Genomic DNA, 16033 nt, shown 5'->3' with positions numbered 1-16033 from the left:
CAAAAAGTTTCTCAGTCCTAAGAATGTAGTCATCAACATATGTCTCTCTGTATAAATGTATGCCTGTTTAGAAGAAACAAAATATTCTTCAGACAATATCTACTTATACTCATTAACAATTTATTTACCAAGAGTATGCACTCTTTCTTACTAGAGTAATACTGAGTAAGGAAAAGGAATTCAGACCTGTATCCAGCCAACATGGGTATTATTGTCTCTAACCAGTCATATCCATGTTAGAGATTGTCTGGTTAGAGTTAGAGCAGGGACTCATATATGACTGGGACACAAACTGAGATAGATAAATCCCAAAGATAGACATGGATAAATTGCTAAGGGAGGCCCTATTTGAATTTCAATAGACTCAAATGTTAACTCCTGCCATCACAAGCAGAACAAAACATTGTATGCTCAGATACCAGAGTGTTTAATTCATCAGCGGCTCTGTTGATCCATGTGTTGTATGGGATCTCCAAGATGTTCACTTTAGTAACCTACCTGCTCATGGAAACAACCAAACTTCAGTTTAAGTATGGCTTATCTCTTTACTCATGATTGGCATTTGGAGCTTCTTTTTTTTTTTGAGATGGAATCTTGTTCTGTTGCCCAAGATGAAGTGCAGTGGCAAAATCTCTGCTCACTGCAGCCTCCACCTTCCTGGTTCAAGCGATTCTCCTGCCTCAGCCTCCCGAGTAGCTGGGATTACAGGCGCGCACCAGCACGCCCAGCTAATTTTTGTATTTTTAGTAGGGATGGGGGTTTCACCGTGTTGGCCAGGCTGGTCTCCAACTCCTGACCTCAATTGATAACACCCGCCTCGGCCTCCCAAAGTGCTGGCATTGCAGGCGTGAGCGACTGTGCCTGGCCTCATTTGGAGCTTCTTGTAGACTTCTGAGAAATGATTTACCTCAGTTGAAGGAAGATGGATTGCATGTCACAGGCAAAGTGTGTTTGGACAAGCTGTGTGAGAGTTTTCATGGCTAGCAAATACATTGTCCCACAAAAGGACATAAAAAAAAATATCTCACTCTAACACTAAGAAATACCACAATTGATGTCATAGTTTTTAAATAACAATTTGTATAGCTGTGGTCTTGACCCACAACAGTCAGTTCTATCCAAATACCTTGCAAGACTTGTTTCCAACCGTCTCTATAAACAGTGAGAGCATCATCCAGTGTCCTGAGGTAGTTGATTTAAGCTCAGAGGCGGGCCTCGCTCTCTTGAAAGAAGCTAAAGGATATTTCTCCTAATGCTGGCAGGGAAGAAGAATTATCAGTTTACTCCACAACATTGACCAGCTCAAATCACACAAAAACAGAAACTTTCCATGGTTTCCAAGCTGTGGCGTTTTCTAATAGACTTTTCTGCCTATCAGTAATTCTTTCCAAGAGGTTGGAAAGATTCTTTTTAAATTTATCTTTAAAGCAAAGGTAGAGCACCCTTTGGAAATCATAGGTTGTTTATGGTGTCCTTGCTGTACTGTGAAATAGTCAGGGGCAGTAAGAGTTTCGGTTGTGGCTGGGGAAGAGTCTATCTCCTCACCATCCCCCATCCCCCATACCCATCTGCCCTTCTTAGGGATTTTATTCCATCAGTGGTGGGAAGGATCATCTTCAAAGTCAGTGAGAAAAATGGCATTCACTAGAGATGTTAGAATTTGGAAAGAGTGGCCAGGCCCTGTGGCTCATGCCTGTAATCCGAGCACTTTGGTAGGCCGAGGCGAGTGGATCGCTTAAGGCCAGGAGTTTGAGACTAGCCTGGGTAACATAAGGAGACCCCCACCTTAACAAAAAAATTTTTAAAATTAGCCAAGCATGGTGGCCCCTGTGATCTCAGCTACTCAGGAGGGTGAGGTGGGAAGATCTCTTGAGCCTGGGAGGTTGAGACTGCATTAAGCAGTGTTTGCACAACTGCACTCCAGCCTGGGTGACACAGCGAGACCCTGTCTCAAAAAAAATTGCAAAGAGTTACTGGTGGGACCCCAACACCCAATTTGTCAATGGGACCACTTCCAGAGTTTCAGGATTTACTACTCCCAGAATAGAGTTGCAGTTGAATGATACAATATGTGGTAATTTATCAATAATATGATTAGTACCATTTCAACCAAGGTCCAAAAAATTCAATGGAGATTTATATGAGACAGATGTTCCCTGAGATAATTCCTGCCAATAAACACAAATGGGGCTCCAAAGAGCACCCATAAACAGGGTAAGAATTAAATAACAAAAACCGGAGACAATGGAAGGATTATGAATATTCTGATGTACCATCTTTTTTTTCTGAAAGGCTTTGTATATTATTCATTTTTTTTCTTTAAGAACAATAAATAATATTGATGACTTGTTTCTGACTCTCTTGGTCAAGTAAAAGAAGTCAAAAGAATTCTAGTAGTGGCAGGGTGACCGAGTCTATTCTATATAGTGTCATTAAAATAATTGCTATTTGCAAGCTGACAAATTGTACCAAGATTCCCTAGGTTTTGTTTTTCTTTGAACCACATTTGGAACAAGAATAAACAAATCTCACTGCAAGGTGATGAATTGGATTTAGTCCTGGTTGATTCAGGCCTGGGCGATGGTTCTGAAATTCTTGTCTATGAGTCTGAACCTGTTGAGTCATTGAAAATCAGCAGTACTAGGGTGCGCTATGCTGGTGTAGTGCAAACCCAAAGCCATTAAAGGACGTAACACAATAAAATATTATGCTCTGGGTTGCCCAGGGGATGAGCAAACCTCAGAATGCCCAGACATGCACCTAAAATTAGGAGGGGTCTTCACATTCTTTAACAATGCCAATTCTCCTATTGTTGAGAAACACAAATTGGTGAATATTTCTGGATGGGTTTTCTCAAGCTGACAAGTGATTTTCTGGCTCTTTGTTAGAGAGAGAGAAAAAGGAGAGAGAGAGAGAGAAAGAATTGCCCTAAGGATAAACTATTGGGCTCAAAATCCAAAGTAGACTTAAGATGATTAATGTAAATTTTCTTGACTTCATTTATTTATTTGTAATAATGTTGTCATCTTTGTTCAATGGGATTCTTAGAAGTTTGTGGCATATGGCTTAAGTTACACTTGAATAACCTGACCTATACCTTCAAAATCTTGCACATGCACATTTTGGAAATTTTAATGAGTCAAATGTCAATGATTTTTTTTAGCAGCCAGTCCTTAACATGAAACACATAAAACACAAAATTTACTTTCAAAAAGTCAATTTCATACTCATCTGCAGCTTAGGATTAAATCACTCATATGAGGCAAGTAAACTCAGAGAATGATTCACTTTACAAGGGTTCTGCAGGAGGAAGCCTAAGACATGTTTGCCTTGAAAAAATAATACATCTCAGTTGTTTATCAACCTAAAATTCTGGGCACATTTTACACTAAAATAGAGAGGAGTAGGATTTCATTTTTTCTCTAATCAATTTCCTTCACAGAAGCAATAAAAATCAGACCCAAATATGCAAGGAGACTCAACAGTCGATGTCATTCAGTGCCTCTTTTCACTATGAAATAGATAATATTTTGTTACCTTAAGGAGATTACAGTGCTATCTGCTTCTTCTCCTGTTCCTCTTTCTCCTCCTCTTTCCTTTTTCTGGGGATGGGGATGTGAGATTTGGGAGAAGGTTAACTGAATGGCATATGATGAGGGACAATTTTAAGACATTTCAAACCCTTGTGTCTCTCAGGCAAATAAACAGCCCTATTTTTGTCTAAAGAGTGTGGGTTAGGGTCTGCAACCTGCCCTTGCGCAGCAATGGAGGGAAAGGAGAGTGACAGTTTCAGGGAGCTCAACTCACCCAGGAGGGGCAAAACGTTCTTTGTGAATTCCTTCAAATCACTGAAGCTGCCTGTCAGATTGCATCTGAGTGTTCTAGCATATCCCTGGGAGCCGCAGGCCATCCCTTGCTGCGAGGGTCCTGCGTCATTCTGAGCAGCAGTGCCTGGAATGCAGGCCCGCTGACTTTGAGGAGTGTCAGTAGGCTCCTTTCCCCAGAAGCCACACATGACCTGGGGCAGACAGCCTCTGAAAGCTAAGACTGGGAGCTGCTGGACATAGAGGAAGAATAAGACAGAAAGGAAGGAGGGAGGGAAAAGAGAAAGGAGGAACATAGGGTAATAAGCAGAAGGAGATTAAGGAATAACAGAACATTTTGTTGTCAGGAATGAAACCTATCTCCATGCCCACCCCCTAAGATTTGTTTACCCAGGTATTACTGCATACCTATAGCTATACACATACCCAGACACAGCCATACCTGTACATATACACATAACTATAGCTATACACGTACACACAGACACACGCACACCCATACCCACACATACACATATACATATACCTGTAGCCATGCACATGCACTGACATATGGCCATAAACATGCCAATAAACATGCACACAGCCATACACATACATACATGCATGTCCATACCCATACACATACACAAACACATACCTGTCCATGTACACATACACAGATGCATAGCCATAGTCCTACACATGTACACACTCATGCCCATACATATACACATAACAGTACACATCCCCATACCTGTACACATTCATAGCTATGTACATATATGCATATTAACCAGAATCATGATATTGTTCTTCTTATCAATAGAAGAATGTCATTACTTTCAGATCATTATACATATATCATTACTTTCAGATCCTCATGCATCATAACTGGAAACTAATAACTCTGTAAACTATAAACTGTGTAACCAGACATGTTTTTCTCAGCACGCATGGCTTCCATTCCCGTTTAGTAGTAAAAGCAGATCAGGGCTAAGTCCTTGTTAGCAAATCATGCTGATTTATTTTTATTTATGTGTTGCGCGTACTGGTTGGAAAGGTATTAAGCCTGTGGGACATTTAGTAGAATATTCTTCAAAATTCTTGAAATTGCTGATTCAGTTAGAGAATTCCACAGGCATGAGTTCTTACATGAACATTGCAGTACAAAGATTAATGACCTAAGCATTTCAGTTTTAGCTTCAAGTCTAAAGGTGGAAAGGGGCCCACTCATAATTAATAAAGTGATGCTGACTCATACAGGCTGGTAGGCTTTTTGCCATAAACAGAATAAGTGTATCAGCTTTAAAAACAAAATTTAGGCCTTGTCTGTTCCAGTTAACTTGGTATACATGAGTTCCATCAATCTCTATTTACTGTGTTAGACATTACAACTGAGGCATTTAAAAATATTTATTTATTCTTTCATTTTAAAATAACAATAAGCAATTCTATTACATGTTAACCTAAGTAACATATTTTTATAAAAAGCTATATTTTCCAAAACAAGAAACAAATTTAGTGAGAAGGGTGGCATCGCTTTATATTTTTGCAAGTCTCTTTAATGTCTGGCTTAACAGAAGACAGCTGGGTTCTCAAATCTGTTTCTGCATTCAATCTGCTGTGTTATGTTGATTTCGTTGAAACGTCTGAAAAAATCCAGTCTCACAGAGATAAGTAGTTGAAAAAGTGAAGAATTTGTAGCCTACCTGAAAGAGCACTGCTGCTGTAGACAGTAGCCTATCAGAATCTCACACCAGTTTCTAGCAAGATTTATATTTTCGATAGATTATTCTAACAGGCCAATGAATTAGAATGAGCGAGACTACCGTTCAGAGGCTATTCTGTATGGCAAGGTGATAGAACTGAAAGGGTTAAGTGACCCATTCATGTTGAAGGTGACAGAAAGAAAAGAGAAGAAGGTGACAGGGAGAGTGGAGGTGGAACACAGGTTTCTGTAGGGGATGACAAAGACTATGATGTTGCCATCAACTGTGGTAAGGATTAGCCTTTGGAAGAGTAAATCTTTGTGAGATAGGAGGAAGGAATAAAGAATTCTATTTTGAATATGTTGAGTGTGAGTTCCTGTTATGCATCCAGATAAAGGTGTTGGGGAGACATTTGATTCCATGAGTCTGAGATACAGGGGAGACGCCCATGCTAAAGACTGGCAATTGCCAGTCATCAGCAAACAAAAAGAGGCTAAATATTTGAGAATGGAATAAGTTCTCCAGAAAGAACAAGTAGAGTGAGGAGTGTGAACAAGAACAGACACTAGGAAACACCAAAGTTAAGGCTGGATGGACAGAGAGAATCTCATGAAGTGACCGAGAATGAGAATAACCAAGAAGCTGTGGTATAACTAAAACCATGAGAGTATAGAATTCACGAAGACTCTGGCTAATGGATTTACAGCAGCAGGAAAATCAAGCAGGATGACGACAGAGATATGGTTATTGGTGTTCGTAGAACAATACCAGTAGAGTGGGTTGGACAAGCATGTGGTATCAACTAGATTGTAGGGGACTGAAGCATAAATTGGAGGTATAAGTAGAAACAGTAGAAATAACTTTTTCCTAGAAATTTGGCCGAAAATAGAATGAGAAGAACAATGCTATAACCAAGCAGAGTCAAGAGAGTTTGATTTAGCACAAAGGAGACTTGAACATGTTTATGGGATAAGGCAATGAAGGTAGTTGCGGGAAGAACTTGAAGACATGGGTTATTAATCATCACAAAATATTCTAGGGGATAAAGGGAAAAAACTATCAAGAGAGCAGGTATTATGTCTCTTTCATTCTCTCTCAAATATCACAGAATATTGATCTTACGGAGAGAACACAGACAAGTTGAAAGGATTAACAGATTCAACAATAAGCAACAACTCATTTCTGTGGTTATTAAAGGACATATTAATAATTTGTTGACATTTAGTAATATGGGATGAGAATCTGGAAATGAGTACTCCACTACAAAAAAGGACAGGCAAGACTGGTAAGTGTGGGGGAGAAGGGGAAAAGATAAAAATTAGCCTAAAAACTACTCCCTTACCCTCCTGCTTACAAGTTGGTGTCTGCTTCTCAGGAAGGAGAGACAGTGTACCAATGACACAGGCAGAGTAAACTGCATGTCGTTCTCATTACAGACAGCAGCTGTGGTTTTCCCCAACAAGCCCCTTTGTTGTCATCAAAAATAACTGATATAAAGAATAAACTCCTTAGGGAACCTTTTCCAAATGGTGCTCCTTGGAACACGAGTGCCTTTTGAAAAATTCATAAGTCATTAAAAATTAAAGGGGGGTGGCCTGCAAGAATACATGGAGTTAAACAAAGTTAAGCAGATTTCTTAACAGAAGACTTGACAGAATCATTACTATAATTACACACATTGGGAAGTTTTCATATGAGTGATATAATAGGCACCATTTCCCAAACTCAATCATTCAAACATTGTGTGCATTGAACACTTACTGATTTACTGATTTATGCTGTAACTGTCACACCAAAGAGGGCAGTTTGGGAAACACTGCTCTAAGGTATTGTTAAACTCAATAATGCGTCCCTGATTATTACTGTCATGATTCTTGTGTCTCGTGAATAGTTACATTAGTAGGTACCCCACTTAAATAACCCAATCTTAAGGCTTATTTCCAAATAAGTGTACTACAACCCATATTCACAAGCCAGTTTTGGTGTTATGTTATGACAGTCTGTTTTTTATTTTATAACAACTATCACCTCTGAAAAAATAGTCCATGGACATCAGAGACTCTTAATAACAATGTTTTGGTTGAAAAGATGATAATAAGATGCTGTGGGGGGATCACAAAAGAGTAAAAAGCACGATCCCTGCTCTTAATGAGCTTAACAGTTGGCTGAGGTAGATAAGAGAATTACATGAAAAATTAAATGATATAAAAGTTACATTGTATTATACAGTAAATAAGAAGCATCATAATTAATCATGACGCATGATTAACTGAGATTAAAAGGTAATAGACAAGGTGGTATTTGTCACATCTAAGGGCATATATTTGTATGAATTGAATCACTACCCACACTCCCAGAAATATATGCACTTCCAAAAATGTGCTGCATCAACTTGGAGCCCCACCAAGACACTAGGCAGGGCTGCTTCTATTGTTTCAGGATACAGACAAGAGTGTTGAGACAAATCTCCTCCTTCCAAATTCAACCAACAGCTGAGAGCACAGCACCCTCCAACTCCCCTTAGAAGACCACAGTCTCCATCCCTAGATTGGAGTGGATCCCAGCAAGTTTACACCAAGGTCTGTTCTGAAGGAGAGACACTATCCCTCAACCTGGATCTCAAGAAGCTGGTCTGACACCCCAACCAGCCATCTGCTAACAGCCAGGCATTCCTGACATGATTGCTTGATGAGTCATTTTCAGAACTCTCAAATTTGTGAAGTGCATTGCTTTATTTCCATCCTCATTTTTCCCCCCAGCTAGAAAAGCTTCCTGATGTCGTTCTTCCTGTAAAAACATGATTAATTTTTAGCCCTTGATTAGATTCAAATTTCTGTAGAGGGCAGTGAACAGGTTGCTTTGTTCTGTCTCCAGCTAAGAACTCAAGGAAAGAAAGCCATTTAATGTCTTTTCTACCTTCGGGAGAATTCTGTGGACTTTGTCCACTGTACCATAGCATTGTAGTCACAGGGATGTGCCCACGGCTTTCAACACAAACTTGCAGCTCTTTGGAAATGGGCCAATAAGAATGCATACTAGAGAGATGGGCTAGGGAGCATTGAAAGATTGTAGACTTTGACTAGCAACTCCATTCTGATAGCTGTTTATCCACATTTTTAACATTTATAAAAATGTATAAAAATATAAAATGGCATTGTTTCTCATTGGGCTAGAAATTTTAGATATTCTAGAACTACCGTGGCATCAACATATATTTAAGACATGATAGGTTTAGACAAAAGTGATTAAACTAAAAGCCATTGGCATATGTAAGCATACGGTTCACTGATCATAATCCAAGCATCTAATTTTAATAAAATATTATCAATTGTGGTTTCAGTAGTCTGTATCATCTCCTGAACATAGTAAAGCCTCCTAAATATATGCCATAAATATCTTTTCCACACAGTTTTTTGATTCATATTTTATTTATTAGATTTATTTGTATCTCATTCTTTTCAAAACGTATTTGTAGTTGACATTACAAATGACACAGTAGGTAGTACAATAAGGAAGTGATAAGCAAATCAGTAAATGCATGCAATTATCAGCAAACAACAGTCATGGAAACCTCAACTGAAATGGACAGCTATGGGAAAATAGAGTGCTATAGATCAATAATATTTTATATTTTTATAATTGGATGAAAACATATAATGATAATATACAGTGGTTGAAATATATATATATCTACATAGATGCATGGACATAGCTTTTATAGTCTATTGTAAATATGTATATTAATACACAAAATAAACACACACATATGTGAAGAAAGAAGGATATAAAAATTATTAGAACTATAGGAAAATAGGAACTAATTGTTAAGCTTTAGTTCATGTTGAACACAGTAGCACAGAAAGCCAATAAGAATTTTGAGGGCATTTTATTTCCCTAATTAGCTTTTCCTGAAGATAGAAAATAAAGTGCTCTAATTTTAAAGAGCAAGAAGTAAAGCAAAGAGTTAGCAATGACCCATGTAAATGTGGATAACAAAACCACTCTCTTCCATTCTTCTCAGGTTTCAATAATTATTATTATTTTGAAATTAGAAGACATTTCAAAAGATACTGACAGGGGTAGGTCCTGAGTGAACAGGAGACAAAAATGTGTGAATTGCTATTATTGCTATTATATTTCATGTATATGCCAGGTTATTGAGTTTTGAAAGGGAATCCATTATCAGGAATGGCAGATAATAGCTTAGCACTAAGCATATCCTCTGGAACATGGTACTGCTCATGGGGAGACATTTGGAGCATCTAGATATCACAATACTAAGAGAGTAATAGCATTTACATAAAGCTAAAAATGCACATATCCAATAAAGTAAATTGGTTTTATACATCATGGGCAGAAAAATTAATAATAGATCTTTGAGAGCCCCAGAATCAATTATTGCCTCCTTGAAAAACCAGATTCATTTTGCCATTATTAAGAGGCAGATGATATGGGACTAGAAGGTAGGAACTTTCAATCAGAACATTGGCTATCTTCCAACATTTAGTACCATGTTTTAAATAATTATGTGCTTATATGATAATTTCTTGAATTGTATTTATATTTAATTTTATTCTTATTTATTTTTATTTTATTTTTTATATTTTATTTTATTATAAGGATCTCCCTCTGTTGCCCAGGCTGGGGTCCAGTGGTGTAATCTCATTTCACTGCAACCTTGACCTCCTGGGCTCAAGTGATCCTCCCACCTCAGTCACTCGAGTAGCTGGGATTACAGGCACATGCCACCACCCTAGGCTAATTTTGTTTAATTTTTTGTAGAGATAGTTCTCACTATGTTGCCCAGCCTAGTCTCTAACTCCTGGCCTTAAGTGATTCTCCCACCTTGGCCTCCCAAAATGCTGGAATTACAGGCATAAGCCTCCGCGCCCAGCATTTCTCAATTTTAAAGTTGTTAATTATTTATTGACATTTTGCTCAGAAAATGAGTGCTTAACATTCTTACATGCTTCTTCATTCCTACCCTAATTATTAATAATTGAATCATGTAGGATACTATGATTTCGTTTCCCTTTTTGTATAGCTGATCATTTTTCCTGTAGTCAATTATTGCTCTGATTTTTAGTTTGCTTGGTTTTCTATGCAGCTAACACAAATTCATCCTTTAACTCACCAATAATCAGTAAAACTCCCTTTCATGTAGTTAAATACATCAGTTAAACCTATCAGTTTCATCTTTTTCCTGAAGTCAATATTCCAGAACCTTCCTCCTCCTGCTCTCACACGAGTTGATTGCCCTCCAGGCCTGCTACACAATATCCTCTTGGAGCAAGCATTTCTTCTCTTCCACTAGGGAATTTCTTTCATTTCTCTCATGTGTTAGATTGCCTGTTACCTGGATCCCACATCTTCCTCTTTCCTGGTGTACTTACTCCTTTGAAAGCTCCTTTAATTAATTTCTGGGAATCCTTCCAGAATGTTCAGCCTAGAGCAGGACTTGGCAAACTGCAGCTTGCAGCACTGATTCATGGCATGTTTTATATAACCCTTGAATTAAAAATGGTTTTTATATTTTTAAGGGGTTGTTAAAAATCAAAAACAAAAATAAAAACAAACAAAAGCAGAATAATATGTGACAGAGGTTGTATGTGACCCATAAAGCCTGAAAAATTTATGATTTTTTTCCTTTACAGAAAATGTTTGCCAACTGCTGGCCTTGAGTCTGCTCTTCAACCCTAGCAGAGATTTTATAAAGATGAATACCCTACACCAAATCCTTTTCTTTGTAAATTAGACTGATTTACATTAGCTACACTGATGTGCCTAGGGTTTTTTCTTTCTTTTTATGATTTTAAATTAATGATTTACTGTCATAAAAGGCTAGTTTTCTATTAAAAGTTTTCTGGAGTCAATTTTGATAACATAGTTTTTTAAAAATGTGTCTTTTTGTCTTGATCCATTCTGCCATGATGCTGTCAATTTTATTAGCATTTATACAGAATAATAATGGCTCTGATAATTTCTCTAATTCATTTTTGCCTTCTATTTTAGTAATTTCAAATTCAGCTTTATCATTTCATTCTTCTCCTTTCTTCCTTGCTGTTCTTTTTTAACTTCCTAATTTGGTTGCTATTTAAATTTTAGCTTTAAAAACTTTCTAATGTAAAGATTTCAGCTCTGTCTCCTAAGCATTGATTTTTTTCAGTGTCTCATGTAATGACATGTTTTTGATGTTGAATCATTCTTTTGAGTACTCACATTCTATTTCTTTGTAGCCATTACCATTTTCTTAAATGCTATTATTAATCTTTTTATTTGTTTAGTTAATGTCTTTCCCCATTAAAATGTAAGCTTCTTAAGAGCAATTTTCTCACCTGCCTTGCTCACTGATACATGCAGAGGCCGCAGAACCCAGTAGACCCTCTAAGATATACAGGAATGATGAGCAATTGCTCTCTTTTCCTTCAAGAGCCAGTCACAATTACTTTCAGATGCTTTTTTTTTTTTTTTTTTTTTTCAGACAGAGTTTCGCTTTTGTCACCCAGGCTGGAGTGCAATGGCGGGATCTCTGCTTACTGCAACCTCCGTCTCCTGAGTTCAAGCAATTCTTCTGCCTCAGCCTCCTGAGTAGCTGGGATTACAGGCACACCATACCCAGCTAATGTTTGTAGTTTTAGTAGAGACAGGGTTTCACCACGTTGGCCACGCTGGTCTTGAACTCCTGACCTCAGGTGATCTGCCTGCCTCGGCCTCCCAAAGTGCTGGGATTACAGGCATACACCACCGCGCCTGGACTCTTTCAGATGTTTTATTCACGTTGAGACATTAATCTATAAATGAGGATAAATTATTACATCAAATTTCCTTTCACTGGGGAGAAGATTAAATACAGTAAAGTGTAGTTACTACAATATGTATTATAATATATAATAGAGGACATATTATTAACTATAGGGCAGCAAACAAGTTCTGATTTTTAAATTCTGCCATAACAATAGAATGTGTAGAAAGAAGCTTAGCGAGGCAATGTATATAGTGGACTAGAAATGTAGTTTGGATTTACTTATTCTGACTTTAGGTGAGTTACTTCATTGCTATGCTTCAGTTGGCAATGGTAACAATAATTATAACCTGCACGTTAGGAATTTTATTAAATTAAATAAGAAATCATTTTAATAGACACCTGATTCAAAATGTCAGTTCCAATTACCTTCCATTCCTTAACATGGTTCAGTCTTTGGGAACTGATGAATTCTGAGACTCAGAAGAATTCACTGCTTTAGCTATATTAATAGTTATAAATGGAGTCACAGTAGATACCTGGCTAATAATATCTTCATGTGTTATTGATTTCCGGAGGTATTTACAATCTATAAGAAAGTGCAATGTGAAGATGAATAATTAGATAATTTATTATAAGATTTAGGCTTTGATCATTGAAGAGAAGAAGGACCTAGAGGGGTCAAGACTTATTTCCCAAGGCCTTGGATTGAATTCAGTTTTCTTTGTACCAAAGTGGAAGTGCAAAATTGGGTACCAAACCCACATACGTGCCGGAATGCAATTATAAATTCTTCAGGAAGATGTTTTCTCCCGTTTATCCAATGCCAAATTCAAGACAGGCAAATTTCCTCAATGTCTTCTTCTATAGGGGAGTGTATTTCTAGTTCGTCTTGATATGTCAGTTTCCAGTTTTTAGCACATTATTTGCTATTTCATTCATGTTTAAAAAGCATCCTTTCTTTAAATGTTGATATGTGCACACCAGTGTCAGAGATCACTATTTTATATTTAACAGCAGGTCCCTTGACAATTTAGAGCACAAAAACCTTAGAAAGCTGATCTGAGCCACGTGTAAATGAGGAAAGTATTAGGTCTGCAGGACGACATTCAGTCACATCCTTCCCCATGGCAATGACCTTCCTTTCTTCATCGGCTGCCTGACCAAGGAGATGTAAAATAACAGGATTGCATGGATGGTTTTTGAGAGCATTGTCATCAAGTTTGACTATCATTATTGAAACAGCTTCCAACTACTAACATCTTTGAGGTGAGACGTGTGAGGGAGAGTGGGTCAGGCTTTCCTTTTTTCCTGCTGGTATTTGTTTTTGCCTCAGATGGTATTCCCTGCTTGGTAATATATGCCTTGACTTTGTGACCTGTCTTCCTGCAATAATTCTTTGGTGGAAAAATCCAGCAATACAGCCAAGAGTTAGTTCTTCCTCTGGCTTCATGTGCCTGGCCCAGAGATAACATCTTGCAGGGTTAGCAAACACATGTAGCTCAGGTTACGGTGTTAGCCACTCAGGACTCCTTCTCGAGCACTAGGCCAATGGGGCATCATTCTGTTTCCAAGTTCAAGACTTCAGTTAATTTATGAATAGTGGAGAGGGACTGTAACTTGGCATGGATAACAATCAATGAGCTGGTGTACCTATGTTCTATAATTTTGGAATGTAAGACAGGGTGGTGCTGCTGGAAGTGAACAGTAGCAGAACTGAGAAAGAAGGGGAAGGATTTAAACTCTCAAAATGTAGACAAATCCATTCACTGAAATTCTCACAGAGACTCTGACAGAGATAATCACACTTAGCCATGACAGAAAATAACATTTGTATCATTTACACCACTGAGAATTTTAGGCAGTAAATAGAATAATTCAAGGCACTAAGTTGTGTTAAGACCTGGGGCATGTTTCAATTCCACCCTGTATTATCTGTAAGGCTGCAGCATATGTCTTGGTTTCTGCATATATAATATTGCCAACTTCGTGGTATTTAAGAATCAAGTTTGACCCTTTGTGCAATGTGGATGCAAAGGTAAAATGGTGCAAATGCTATGGAAAATATGATGGCATGTCCTCAAAAAATTAAAGAAAGAATTACTGTATGATCCAGCAATTCCACTTCTGAGTGTACTGTAACCAAAATAATTGAAAGCAGAGTAACAAAGACACATTTACACATCTACATTCACAGCAGCATTATTAACAATAGCCAGGAAGAGGCAGAAGCAAGCCACATGTTCATGGACAAATGAATGAATAAACAAAATATGGTACAAATGTAGAGTGGAATACTATGCAGCCTTAAAAACAAGGAAATCCTGTCACATGCTAAAACATTATGCTAGGTGAAATAAGCCAGACGCAAAAAGACAATTACTCTACGATCCCATTTACATGAGGTAAAGTAGTCAAATTCATAGAAATAGAAAACAGAAAGGTGGTTTCCAGAGGTTGCTAGCAGGAGAAAGGGGAATTTGTTGTTTAATTGGTGTAAAATTTCAGTTCTGCAAGAGGTAAAAGTTCCAAAAATGTGTTTCATAATGATGGAAATATACTTTTAAAATAATTTCAGTAGTTTTGGGGGAAGAGGTGGTGTTTGGTTACATTGATAAGTTCTTGAGAATTTGGTTCACCCATCACCCAAGCAGTGTACACTGTACCCAATGTGTAGTCTTTTATCTCTCACTACCATCCCATTCTTCCCTCTGAGTCCCCAGAGTCCATTGTATCATTCTTATGCCTTTGCATCCTCACAGTTTAGCTCCTACTTATAAGTGAGAACATACAATGTTTGGTTTTCCATTTCTGGGTTACTTCACTCAGAATAATGGTCTCCAACTCCATCCAGGTTGCTGCAAATGCCATTATTTTATTTTTCATGACTGAGTAGTATTCCATGGTGTGTGTGTGTGTATATATATATATTTCACATTTTTTAAAATCCACTTGTTGATTAATGGGCATTTGGGCTGGTTCCATACTTTTTCAATTGCAGATTGTGCTGCTGTAAACATGCATGTGCAAGTGTCTTTTTCATATAATGACTCCCTCTGGGGAGACACCCAGTAGTCAGATTGCTGGATCAAATGGTAGATGTACTTTTAGTTATTTAAGGAATCTCTGTACTGTTTTTTCATTCCTACTAGCAGTGTAAAAGTGTTCCCATTTCACCACATCCATGCCAACATCTATAATTTTTTTATTTTTAAGTTATGGCCATTCTTGCAGAAGTAAGGTGGTATTGCATTGTGGTTTTGATTGGCATTTCCCTGATAGTTAGTGATGTTGAGCATTTTTTCATATGTTTGTTGGCCATTTTGTATATCTTCTTTTGAGAATTTACTATTTATGTCCTTAGCCCACATTTTGATGGGATTATTTGGTTTTTTTCTTGCTGATTTGTTTGAGTTCCTTGTAGATTCTGGATATTAGTCCTTTGTCAGTTGCATAGTTTGAGAAAATTTTCTTCCTCTCTCTGTGTGGTCTGTTTATTCTGCTGATCATTTCTTCTGCTGTGCAGAAGATTTTTAGTTTAATTAAGTCCCATCTATTTATCTTTGTTTCTGTTGCATTTGCTTTTGGGTTCTTGGTCATGAACTCTTTGCCTAAACCAATGTCTTAGAAGAGTTTTTGCAGTGTCATCTTCTAGAATGTTTATGGTTTCAGGTCTTAGATATAAGCCTTTGATCCATCTTGACTTGATTTTTGTATAAGATGAGAGATGAGAATCCAGTTTAATTCTTCTATATGTGGCTTGCCAATTATTTCAG

This window comes from Homo sapiens, chromosome 6 (genome assembly GCF_000001405.40).
Source record: "Homo sapiens chromosome 6, GRCh38.p14 Primary Assembly".
In the NCBI taxonomy this organism is placed as follows: domain Eukaryota; kingdom Metazoa; phylum Chordata; class Mammalia; order Primates; family Hominidae; genus Homo; species Homo sapiens.
Note: the sequence above shows the minus strand (reverse complement) of the source record.